General features: G+C 45.6%; 1 long non-coding RNA gene across 2 annotated transcripts in view, besides 2 other annotated features; it reads right to left on the reverse strand.

Annotated features, from left to right (window-relative positions):
- The window catches only part of LOC105372310 (uncharacterized), a 148,126-nt gene that overhangs the window by 110,103 nt on the left and 25,445 nt on the right, over positions 1-12,578 (reverse strand). For both annotated transcript variants that reach the window (XR_007067164.1, XR_001754065.2), the window contains exons 2-4: positions 6,695-6,832; positions 5,177-5,985; positions 4,483-4,745 (exon numbers count right to left, since the gene is read on the reverse strand). This is a non-coding gene — a long non-coding RNA (uncharacterized LOC105372310). The remainder of the gene's footprint in view (positions 1-4,482; positions 4,746-5,176; positions 5,986-6,694; positions 6,833-12,578) is intronic.
- Positions 3,880-4,390: an enhancer, noted in NCBI's record as "H3K27ac hESC enhancer chr19:20348494-20349004 (GRCh37/hg19 assembly coordinates)". NCBI's record gives its function as "activates a minimal SCP1, AML or CMV promoter by ChIP-STARR-seq in primed H9 embryonic stem cells {active_cell/tissue: H9 hESC(primed)}" and the evidence as "EXISTENCE:reporter gene assay evidence [ECO:0000049][PMID:30033119]".
- Positions 4,902-5,420: an enhancer, noted in NCBI's record as "NANOG-H3K27ac-H3K4me1 hESC enhancer chr19:20349516-20350034 (GRCh37/hg19 assembly coordinates)". NCBI's record gives its function as "activates a minimal SCP1, AML or CMV promoter by ChIP-STARR-seq in naive H9 embryonic stem cells {active_cell/tissue: H9 hESC(naive)}" and the evidence as "EXISTENCE:reporter gene assay evidence [ECO:0000049][PMID:30033119]".

Genomic DNA, 12,578 nt, shown 5'->3' on the forward strand with positions numbered 1-12,578 from the left:
CAGTTTCTCTGAGGATGAAGGCTCCTTCCATGGCTCGGGTGAGCAGGCTGAAACATCTGCAGGAAAGGTTCCCCAAGAATAACTAACTGGGCCTTTAATAACCTCCTGTTGCAGGCTTAATATTAGCCTTAGCTTGGAGTCACAAGGTTCAAGCTTTAATTTCCATGTGAGAGTTATTTACTTGGTTTTTGAAACTGTTCAAAAAATCCAGTGAAATTACTCAAACACTGTGTTTATATAAGGGATGGAAATTTTAAGGTGCTTAATTTTTTTTTTGAGATGGAGTCTTGCCCTGTCACCCAGGCTGGAGTGCCATGGTATGATCTCAGCTCACTGCAACCTCTGCTTCCCGAGTTCAAGTCATTCTCCTCCCTCAGCCTCCCAAGCAGCTGAAACTACAAAGTATGCGCCACCATACCCTATTAATTTTTGTATTTTTAGTAGAGATGGAATTTCACTATGTTGGGAAGGCTGGTGTGGAACTCCTGACCTCAAGTGATCTACCTGCCTCGGCCTCCCAAAATGCTGGGATTACAGGCATGAGTCACTGCACCTGGCTAAAGTGCTTGCATTTTATACCTTCATAAGAAAAGCAAATATACCTACTTCTTTCAGACAATATATGTATTATCTTATTATTTCTATTAAAAATAATGTAGTAACAAATTAGTCATATGGGAACACTTGTAGAAGGTACCATGTTTCATCACATATAATTTAGCATTACATTCAGAAATGAAGACAACAGGATATAGACATGAGATATTTATTCACTGTCACAAATTTACCCAGCAAAAGGAGGTACTGATGTTTTGATGAATTTATGTAACTCAATTATCTACAACATTTTCCTGTGGAAATATATTCATTGTCTACAGCCAAAATGAAAGAGAGATTTTTCTTATTTTTTCCCTTGGTAGCTAGCATTCTTAAAGTTAAGGCTTGGAATTCTGTTTGAAATCACTCAGCCATAAAAAACACACCTGAGAAAATTCCTAAACTCACTCTGGGAAAGAAAAAGATAAATGAGAATGATTAACAAATGGAATATATGATTAGATATTAATTTTTTGAAACTCATATTTTATTTTCTTTGTAAATATTTTCTTAACTTTCAAGCCCTACTAATAAAATGCAAATTTTAGTTAAAAAAACATGTCAGCTGGGTGCAGTGGCTCACGCCTGTAATCCCAGCACTTTGGGAGGCCAAGGCAGGTGGATCACTTAAGACTAGAAGTTTGGGACCAGCCTAGTCCATCTCTACTAAAAATACAAAAACTAGCTGGGCCTAGTGGTGCGCACCTGTAGTCCTAGCTACTTGGGAGGCTGAGGCCATGAGAATCAATTGAACCCAGGAGGTGGAGGTTGCAGTGAGCCGAGATTGAGCCATTGCATTCCAGCCTGTGCAACAGATTGAGACTGTCTCAAAAAAGAAAAAAAAAAAGGGAGGTCAAAATAAGTGAACAGATCGTTTCAAGGTACAGGTCGAATCACCCACCCCATCCTGCTCATTTACGTGCTCAATAACCACCCTCCCAGGAGACACTGCGATATGACCCAGTGAGTCCTCCAGGTGCATTTTACTTCCTAAATTTTTACGCCATCTCACTGGGGTCAGTTTTTTTTGTCTTTTGGAGTGTTTTTTTTTTAAACAAATTTTTCACTATTTTTCTGCCACCCCCCCCCTGCCCCCGCCAAGAAAATCTAGGGGACAGAAATTATTTGTTTTCCCCTCGATACCAGCATCTGGTTGGCTGACAAGCAATGTGTCTCCAAGAATTGGAAGCTAGGTTGGGTGAAGAGAATCATGTCTCAAGGGGTTAGCTTTTCTTTATTTTTTGTGAGATCGAGTCTTGCTCTTGTCGCCCAGGCTGGAGTGCAGTGGCGCAATCTCGGCTCACTGAAACCTCCGCCTACCGGGTTCACGCCATTCTCCTGCCTCAGCCTCCCGAGTAGCTGGGATTACAGGCGCCTGCCACCATGCCCGGCTGATTTTTTGTATTTTTTAGTAGAGATGGGGTTTCACCATGTTGGCCAGCCTCCAGGCTGGTCTCCAACTCCTGATCTCAGGTGACCCACCCACCTCGGCCTCCCAAAGTGCTGGGATTACAGGCGTGAGACACTGCACCCAGCCTCAAGGGGTTAGCTTTTCAGGAAAAAAAAAAAAAAAAGAAAAAAGAAGAAGTGCAACAGGAGATGCCTTTCAGCCCCAAGGCTGTCACCTGCTCTTTTGAGAGGCTACACTGTATACTTCAGGTGGTCCTATGGGAGAAAATGACCCAAGAGCTAATAGTCACTAGACACTCTACCAGACATAGCCATGGTGGGTATCTTGGTTTATTCCCAGAAAGTACTAAAACTCAGGCCCAGAAAAAAAACTGAAGGATAGCTGAGGACACATCACCCTACAAAGTTTACAAAGGGTAATCTTGACCCAAAAACATTTTGGTAAGTTCTCTGGAAAAATAAAAGAAAAAGAGGAGCCGGGCGCGGTGGCTCACGCCTAACCCCAGCACTTTGGAAGGCCAAGGCGAGTGGATCACGAGGTCAAGAGATTGAGACCATCCTGGCCCACATGGTGAAACCCCGTCTCTGCTTAAAATACAAAAATTTAGCTGGGCGTGGTGGCGCGCGCCTGTAGTCCCAGCTACTGGAAAGGCTGAGGCAGGAGGATCGCTGGAACCCAGGAGACGGAGGTTGCAGTAAATCGAGATCGCGCGACTGCACTCCAGCCTGGCAATAGAGCCAGATTCCATCTCAAAAAACAAAAACAACAAAAGAAATGCAGGCACAGATATTTTTTACAATACAGTGTCAGGGGATTATTCTTTGCTTTCTTCTGGGAAATATTTACAAAGAGAAAACAAGTCTTTTCAATAGTGTTATGCAATGCTTTAAAAAAAATGATTAATTGAGGAACGTGGGGTACATTTCAGGCCCTGCTTAGGACACATGTGAAAAATGCTAGGGAAAAATCAGTCCCCTGTGGGGTGTGGAAATAATTAAGTGGCAGGCAATTAGACTGAGGATGCTCTAGTCCTCGGATTCCTCCTTCTAAAATAAAAATCTAAACTCAAGTGCAGTTTTTGCTAAATTACTACATTCGGGAAACAAAATTCAGGCTTAAAAAACCATAAACTGCCAATTAAGCTCTGATTACATAACCAGGAAATTTCCACCTTAATTGTACAAAGAAACTACATAACTATACGTATTGAATTATTGAATATGGTTTTCTTCATCATGCACCTTATCAATGTTTCCTTCAAGCCCCTCCCATGGACCGCAAACTACAAACTATAGCTGGGTGCTCTTGAATGACTGATTAAATTATTTGATATTTTTGCGGTGACTCCCATAATTTATGTATTTATTTATTTTTTTAGACAAAGTCTTAGGCCGGGCGCGGTGGTTCACGCCTGTAATCCCAGCACTTTGGGAGGCCAAGGCGGGCGGATCACGAGGTCAGGAGATGGAGACCATCCTGGTTAACACAGTGAAACCCCGTCTCTACTAAAAATACAAAAAATTAGCCAGGCAAGGTGGCGGGCGCCTGTAGTCCCAGCTACTCGGGAAGCTGAGGCAGGAGAATGGCGTGAACCCCAGGGGGCGGAGCCTGCAGTGGGCCGAGATCGCGCCACTGTACTCCAGCCTGGGCGACAGCGAGACTCCGTCTCAAAAAAAAAAAAAAAAAAAAAAAGGACAAAGTCTTGCTCTGTCACCCAGGCTGGAATGCAGTGGTGTGATATCAGCTCACTGCAGCCTCCGCCTCCTGGGTTCAAGCGATTCTCTCTCCTCTGCCTCCCGAGTAGCTGGGACTAGAGACATTCGCCATCACACTCAGCTAATTTTTCTATTTTCTTTGTAGAGATGGGGTTTCCCCATTTTGCCCAGGCTGGTCTTCAACTCCTGACCTCAAGTGATCAGCCCTTCTCAGCCTCCCAAAGTGTTGGGATTACTGGCATTTCGTACCTGGCACCATACTTTTTTTTTTTCTTTGAGACGGAGTCTCCCTCTGTCGCCCAGGCTGGAGTGGTGGTGCAATCTCGGCTCAATGCAAGCTCCACCTCCCGGATTCCACACATTTTTAATAACAGAAAAGAGAAACTGTGAACCCCACGGACCAAAGCTCTTCCCATTCATGAACCCACATCCCGAGTCAGGATTCTCCCCTGACGACCCTCCCATGGTCCCTGCAAAATCTGGGAGAAACGCGGCGCTGCCGCTGCAGAGCTGCCTAGAAAGGGCTCCAGGCCATGGCACAGTCACTGCGAGAGGAAGAGACAGGAGGCCTGGCGGCCCGGCTGTCAGCGCAGTCGCCATCTTAAGGCTGAAGGGGGCTGAGGCCAACCTGGGCAAGGAGAACTTGGGGCGCACATTGTGGAGCTGACTGCGAAGAGGCCTGAGTCCCGCCACAGTCACTTCCCACCAGTTCCACCCTGCCCCTCTTCCTGTCTCGGGATGTCGGCCGGGCACTCTCACCATTTCTATGCTTCCAGGGTGTCCTGGGGTTTTAGCTGTGGATCTCCCAATACCTGCAGGTCACAGGGCCACAGAGGCTGGGCCTCCAGGAGAATAGGACACAGACCAGTGAAGACGAGACCTGAAACGCCGGCTGCAGCTAGAGACAAAGGCCGCGCCAAAAGCGGAAAGCCGTCCTCGTCGCTCCAGCTGCGTGCCTGATTGGACGGTTTCCAGCCCAGCGTCTCTGATTGGATAATGCTTTAGGTCCCGCCCCTCAGGCCCTGAGTGACAGAAGATGTGATCAGATGCTGGGCTAAGTGAAGAGAGACAGCCTAAGCTGCAGCCTTTACAGGCAGGGCTTCCTTCCTGAGCTGACCCAGGCCCCCCCCAGAGCATGAGAAAATTCTCTTTTGTACTCACTCTCCTTTTGAATGTATTCAAAAGGTGAACAGAAGTATTTTGCTGGCATATTAATAATACATAAAATTTTTGTTCAAGAGAAAATCAACGTTTACTTTGTTAGTAGTGTATTATCAATACTAAAGCTAATGTTTTTTTTTTTTTTTTTGAGACGGAGTCTCGCTTTGTCACCCAGGCTGGAGTGCAGTGGCGGGGTCTCGCTCACCCGATTTTCCTGCCTCAGCCTCCTGAGTAGCTGGGATTACAGCTACTATTGTTGAAAAACAATAGACAATCACAAAAACAAGCTGACCTTTTTGTGTTCCTTAAGCCCTGTCCTGAAGAGCCCTGTGACTGGGCTTTATGCCAAACAACTCGTTACTAAAGAGCTGTGGTCCCAGACTGCACCGAAGCTTCATGAGACCTCTCCTCGTCTGTGCACGGACGAGTGGCCAACTCTGGAGCCCAGGCTGTTGCTTCCCTGTCTGGTGGTGAATCCTCCACAGTCTGATGAGGGTGGTGTCTGACTCTGGAGCTCAGGCTGTTGCTTCTTGGTCTGGTGGTGAGTCCTTCATAGTCTGGTGAGTGCGGGTGTCCCACTCTGGAACCCATGCTGTTGCTTCCTGGCCTGGTGGAGAATCTTCCAGCCTGGAGAGTGCGGTGTCTGACTCTGGAGCCCAAGGCTGGAAACTTGGGGACGTCCCAAATCCCGGAATGGAAACTCCCCCAGTTCTCCCCCTTGGCGTGCCCTATCTGGTGAGTTTCGGGGGAACTCATGACCCAAGTCATAATAGGAATTTCAAGCCTCATAAAGACATCATGGTTGAAGCAGAGGTGTTTCGTTTCCAGCAAAGCCCAATAGCAAGCTAACAATTGCTCCTCGAAAGGGTTATAAGCTTTGCTGGCCTCTGGCAGTTTCTGGGTCCAAAACCAGAAATGTACCTCTTCCCATCTTGTTTCTGCCTAAGGCTCCAATTAGCATGTTGATCTAGGACAGTTACTTGCAGTTCTACGGGACCATCCCAAATGGGTCATAGATCCAGGGCCAGTTGCACTGCTTGTTTATCTTGTTCGGAAGCCATGATCTCTTTCTCTCCCCAAAGTCATAGCGTTTTCTGGTGGCTGCATGCAGAGGTTGTAACATGTTACCCAAGTGGGGAATATGATGTCTCCAGAATCCAAACAAGCCAATAAATTTCTGAGCCTCATTTTTAGTGGTAGGGGTTGCAAATTCTAGTATTTTAGGCTTAGCCTTTGGTAAAATGAATTATTTCCCTGCATTTCATAGGATGCAACCAGCCCCTATCTTGACACATTATCTTATAAGCAGTAAGGAAACACCATCCACTCTGGGAGATCCCCTCAGCGTCTCCTTTGCTGACTGGAATTCCCTGCAGCACTTCACGCACAAAGGTCTAAATTGCACTAATTTAGATTCCCAATTCTTACAAAGTCCGGTTCCCCTTGACCATTCAATTGCCAAGGGAGAGAACTGGGGGAGTTTCCATCCGGGGATATGGGAAGTCCTCGAGCCTCCCGCCCTGCCCTTGTTGCTAAAAAGTGGCACACTTTTGTTTTTGAATCCTGTTTGTGACACCAAAAGTGTTCTGTGCGGGAAACGCACGAGGGGGAGAAGGAAAGACACACACACAATACCTTTAAGGGTAAACAAGCTTCATTCCACGTAAATAGCAATGCAGATATAATAAGCAAATTATGTAATAAGCAAATCAATATAATAAGCAGATTGATATAACAAGTAGATTGATATAATAAGCAAATTGCAATGGGAAGAGGAGAAAGGAAAAAATATATATATATTTACACTCACCAGACTATGGAGGATTCACTACCAGAGTGGGAAGCAACAGCCTGGGCTCTAGCATCGGACATTGCACTCACCAGACAGTGGAGGCCTCACCACCAGATGGGAAGCAACAGCTTGGGCTCCAGAGTCGGCCGCTCATTCCTGCACAGATGAGAAGAGGTCTCATGAAGCTTCAGCCCAGTCTGGTATCCTAGCTCTTTTGTAACTAGTTGTTTCGCATGAGGCCTAGTCACGAGGGCCTTTCATGACCCGGCACGAGGAACATAAAAATGTCAACTTGTTTTTGCGATTGCCTATTGTTTTTCAATAACTAATGCATAGGAATAGATTGAAATAGAGATTTCTCCAAAACAGCACTGAATGAACGCTTGAAGGGGCTCACACAACCTGTTCTGGGACTCGGTGACCATTGTTTGTGTCCACGTTCAATTGAGTTCAAATTTATTATTTAACTTTTCCTCCACAAATTCGCCTGTCTTGATGAATCAGCTCTGTCTAGGCAAAGGGCAAGGTGAACCTCTTGGGCCTTACACAACCTCCACCTCCTGGGTTCAAGCGATTCTTCTGTTTCGGTCTCCAGAGTAGCTGGCACTACAAAAGTGCACCACCACAACCTGCTAATTTTTTGTATTTTTAGTAGAGATGGAGTTTCACCATGTTGGCCAGGCTAGTCTTGAACTCCTGACCTCAAGTGATCCACCCACCTAGGCCTCCCAAAGTTCTGGGATTACAGGCGTGAGCCACTGAGGTTATCACTAAATGATATCTTTTTGTTTCCTATAACAATGTGAAATTACTTAAAGGTGGTTTCAAATTGAAAAAATAAAAAGAATGCAGATAAAAATAAAATATAAAAAGTTCAAAAAATTACAAGAGATTACAAAATATACATGTATATCTTGAGAGGTCAAAAATGACAAATTTTGTTTATTTACAAGGTTGTATTTATTTATTTATTTATATTTTTATTTTTTGAGACAAAATATTGCTCTGTTGCCCACGATGGAGTGCAGCGGTGCGATCTTGGCTCACCGCAACCTCCACCTCACGGGTTCAAGCGATTCTCTTGCCTCAGCTTCCCTAGTAGCTGGGACCACAGGCTCATACCAGGAGGCCCGGCTAATTTTTTTTATGTTTAGTAGAGACGGGGTTTCACTGTATTAGCCAGGATGGTCTCGATTTCCTGAACTCCTGATCCGACCGCCTCAGCCTTCCAAAGGGCCAGGATTATAGGTGTGAGCCACTGCACCAGCTTTATAAGGTTTTATTAAAATTGGCTTTAGTGTTGATAATACACTATTAACAAGTAAAAGTTGATTTTCTCTTGAACAAAAATTTTATGTATTATTAATATGACAGCACAATACTTCCGTTCATCTTTTGAATACATTCAAAAAGAGAGACAATGAAAAGAGATAGAATTTTCCCATGCTCTGGAATGGGCCTGGCTCAGCTCAGGTAGGAAGCCCTGTTTGAAAAGGCTGCAGCTAGGCCAGGCCCAGCGGTTCACGCCTTTAATCCCAGGAGTTTGGGAGGCCGAGGTGGGTGGATCACCTGAGGTCGGTAGTTCGAGTCCAGGCTGACCAACATGGAGAAACCCTGTCTTTACTAAAAATACAAAAAATTAACCAGGCATGGTGCCACATGCCTGTAATCCCAGCTACTTGGGAGGATGAGATCTATTATATCTCACAGGGTTTACAATTTCTCTTTTCTCCTATTATAAATTTATGAGGCCAGCGGCTGGGCATGGTGACTCATGCCTGTAATCCCAGCACTTTGGGAGGCTGAGGTGGGCAGATCACTTGAGGTCAGAAGTTCAAGACCAGCCTGGACAATATGGTGAAGCCCCATCTCTACTAAAAAAATACAAAAAAATTAGCTGGGCATTGTGGCGTGTGCCTGTAATCCCAGCTACTCAGGAGGCTGAGGCAGGAGAATTGCTTGAACCTGGGAGGTGGAGGTTGCAGTGAGCCAAGATCGTGCCACTGCACTCCAGCCTGGGCAACAGAGAAAAACTCCATCTCAAAAACAAACAAAAAAAATTTATGGGGCCAGGTGCAGTGGCTCACACCTGTAATCCCAGCACTTTAGGTGGTCTAGGCAGGTGGATCACTTGAGGTCAGGAGTTTAAGACAAACCTGGCCAAAATGGGGAAACCCCATCTCTACTAAAAATACAAAAATTAGTTGGGTGTGATGGTGAATGTCTCTAGTCCAGGCTACTCAGGAGGTAGAAGTGAGAGAATAACTTGAACCCAGGAGTGGAGGTTGCAGTGAGCTGAGATCATGCCACTGTACTCCAGCCTGGGCGACAGAGCAAGACTCTGTCTAAAAACAAAAAAACAAACAAAAAAACAAAAAAAAGTATGAGTGTCTCTGCCAAAATGGAAATAATTTAATCAAACAGTGATTCAAGAATTGTCGAGCACCCAGCTATAGTTTGTAGTTTGTGGTCCATGGGAGGAGCTTGAAGGAAAGACATTTATAGGGTGCATGATGAAGAAAACTATATTCAATAATTGCTCAGGTATGGTTATGTAGGTTCTTAATTTGTTCAATTAAGGTGGAAATTTCCTGGTTATGTAATCAGAGCTTAATTGACAGTTTATAGTTGCTTAAGCCTGAATTTTGTTTCCCCTAATGTAAAACTTTTTTTTTTTTTGAGACGGAGTCTCACTGTATAGCCCAGGCTGGAGTGCAATGGCATGATCTCGGCTCACTGCAACCTCCGCCTCCCAGGTTCAAGTGATTCTCCTGCCTCAGCCTCCCAAGTAGCTGGAACTACAGGTGCATGCCACCATGCCCGGCTAATTTTTTGTGTGTATTTTTAGTAGAGATGGGGTTTCACCATGTTAGCCAGGATGGTCTTGATCTTCTGACCTCGTGATTCACCTGCCTCGGCCTCCCAAAATGCTAGGATTACAGGCATGAGCCGCCACACCCGGCCCTACCCCTAATGTAGTAATTAACCAAAAAATGTCCTTGAGTTTAGATTTTTTTATTTTAGAAGTAGGAATTTGAGGACTACAGCCTCCTCAGTTTATTTGCCTGCCACATAATTATTTTCATACCACATAGGGGACTGATTTTCCATGGCATTTTTCACATATGCCTCAAGGGTACCCCATGTTCTTCAGTTAATCATTTTAAAAAAGCATTGGCTAACACTATTGAAAAGATTTGTTTTCTGTTTGTAAATATTTCCAGTGAGAAGAAAGGAAAGACTAATCCCCTGACACTGTAAGGAAGGAGACCACCTTTCTGCTTGTCTCAAGCCTCAGAAAAAGAAAAGAGGAAGCAAAAGCTAAAGAAAGTCAGAAATGAGATCAATAGTTAGACAGCTCCTGGCCACTCCCCAGGGCTGGTAGTTAAAAATCAGCTCCTGACCTAACTGCTTGTATTATCCATAGATTTCAGGCATTGTATGAGGAAGCATTGTGAAATTTTCTGTTCTGTCCGGATTACCGATGCATACACGCTCAGTTATGTACCCCATGCTTGCTCAATCAATCATGACCCTTTCACGTGGACTCCTTTAGAGTTGTAAGCCCTTAAAAGGGACAGAAATTTCTGTCTCAGGGAGCCGGCTTTTGAGACGCAAGTCTCCTGATGCTCCTGGCCGAATAAAGCCTCTTCCTTCTTTAACCTGGTGTCTGAGGAGTTTGTCTGTGGCTCGTCCTGCTACATTTCTTGGTTCCCTGACTGGGAAGTGAGGTGATTAGTGGTTGGTCAAGGCAGTCTTTTAGGTGACTTAGGCCTGTCCTGTGGAGCATCCCCGTAGGGGACTCCAGCCAGCCTGAGAGACACGGATCCTGAGAGTGCTCCCAGGTAGGCAATTGCCCTGGTGGAATGCCTTGTCAGTGCAGTGCATGGGAGGCCCCTGTGGAGGATCAATGCAGTGGCTGAACACTGGGAAGGAACTGGCAACTTGAGTCTGGACATCTGGAACATGGTAAGACCGGTCTTAGAAACTTGCTCACTCCATTTGAGGGGAAGCATGGCCTGATCACCCATGACGTGCCTTTATCGGCATTTTGGTTTTGGTTTTGATTTTGTCTTGGCTTAAATTGCTTGGCACCATGGTTTTGGTTTTGATTTTGATACAGTGTGAATTAGGCAAGTGTGTGACCTTTTACCCTTTCCTTCTTGTAGTGTGAGTTTTGTCTTGTCTCTAGAGAAAAATGGGTCAGACACAAAGTAAGCCTACCCCACTTGGAACTATGCTGAAAAATTTCAAGAAGGGATTTACAGGAGACTATGGGGTTACCATGACACCAGAGAAACTTAGATCTTTATGTGAAATAGATTGGCCAGCATTAGAAGTGGGTTGGACATCAGAAGGAAGCCTGGACAGGTCCCTTGTTTCAAAGGTATTGCACAAGATATCTTGTAAGCCAGGATACCCAGACCAGTTCCCGTACATAGACACTTGGTTACAGCTAGTTTTAGACCCCCCCACAGTGGTTGAGAGGACAGGCAGCAGCAGTGTTAGTGGCAAAGGACAGGTAGCCAAGAAGAATCCCACTCCACCCATCGAGGGAAGTCGGTTCCTAAAGTTCTGTCTGACCCCATATCAGAAGACTCATGGCAGGAAATGGCACCAGTGATGCCTCCCCCTTATCGAGATGAGAGACCCCCACTTCTGAGCCCACAGCACCTGTGCCTCCACAGGACACACACACCCCTAGACCACCCAGAGTAAACAAGAGAGGATGTGAAGCCATGGGAGAAACCCCTCCCTTGGTGGCTCATTTAGGACCTAAGACTGGAACACAGATGCCCCTGAGGGAGCAGTGATATACTGGAGTAGATGAGGACAGGCATGTGGTAAAAAGTCATGCCTTTGTGTATCAACCTTTCACCTCTGCTGATCTCCTCAATTGGAAGAACAATACCCCATCTTATACTGAAAAGCCTCAAGCTTTGATTTGCTCCAAACTATTATCCAGACTCATAACCCTACTTGGGCTGATTGCCACCAACTGCTCATGTACCTCTTTAACACAGATGGAAGGTGAAGGGTGCTCCAGGCAGCAACTAAGTGGCTGGAGGAACATGCTCTGGCCAATTACCAAAATGTCCAAGAGTATGTAAGGTTCCAATTACCAGGAACAGACTCCCAGTGGGACCCAAATGAAGGGCCAGACATGAAAAGACTAAAATGATATAGGGAGGCCCTCCTAGAAGGGTTAAAAAAGGGAGCCCAGAAGGCCACAAATGTTAACAAAGTCTCCGAGGTCATTCAAGGAAAAGAAGAGAGTCCAGCACAATTTTATGAGAGACTATGTGAGGCATATCGTATGTATACTCCCTTTGATTCAGATAGCCCTGAAAATCAGTGCATGATTAATGTGGCTTTAGTTAGTCAAAGCGCCGAAGATATTAGAAGAAAGCTTCAGAAACAGACTGGGTTTGCAGGTATGAACACTTCAGTTATTAGAAATAGCCAATCAGGCGTTTGTGAATAGAGATGCGACGGGTCGTAGAGAAAGCCGTAAAGAAAGTGAGCGCCAAGCCCGGTGAAATGCTGACCTGCCAGCCACAGCTATTAAAGGGGTTCCCCCAAAGGGCTGAGGAATGGGGGACCCCGGGGAAAACACACAGTCTGACTGACCACGTCTGCAGCGTAACCGGTGTGCTTACTGTAAAGAAAGCAGGTCATTTGCAACCTACCAGAACCTAAGACCAGGAGGCAGGTGAGAGAGTTCTTAGGAGCTGTGGGGATCTGCAGGTTATGGATCCCAAACTTTGCAGTACTGGCCAAACCTCTGTACCAAGTCACAAAGGGGGGCATCCAGGAAACTTTTGAATGGGGGTCTCAACAGCAGCAAGCCTTCCATGAATTAAAAGAGTAACTCATGTCAGCCCCAGCCCTGGGTCTGCCT

The sequence above is a fragment of the Homo sapiens genome, chromosome 19 (assembly GCF_000001405.40).
Source record: "Homo sapiens chromosome 19, GRCh38.p14 Primary Assembly".
Taxonomy (NCBI): Eukaryota; Metazoa; Chordata; class Mammalia; order Primates; family Hominidae; genus Homo; species Homo sapiens.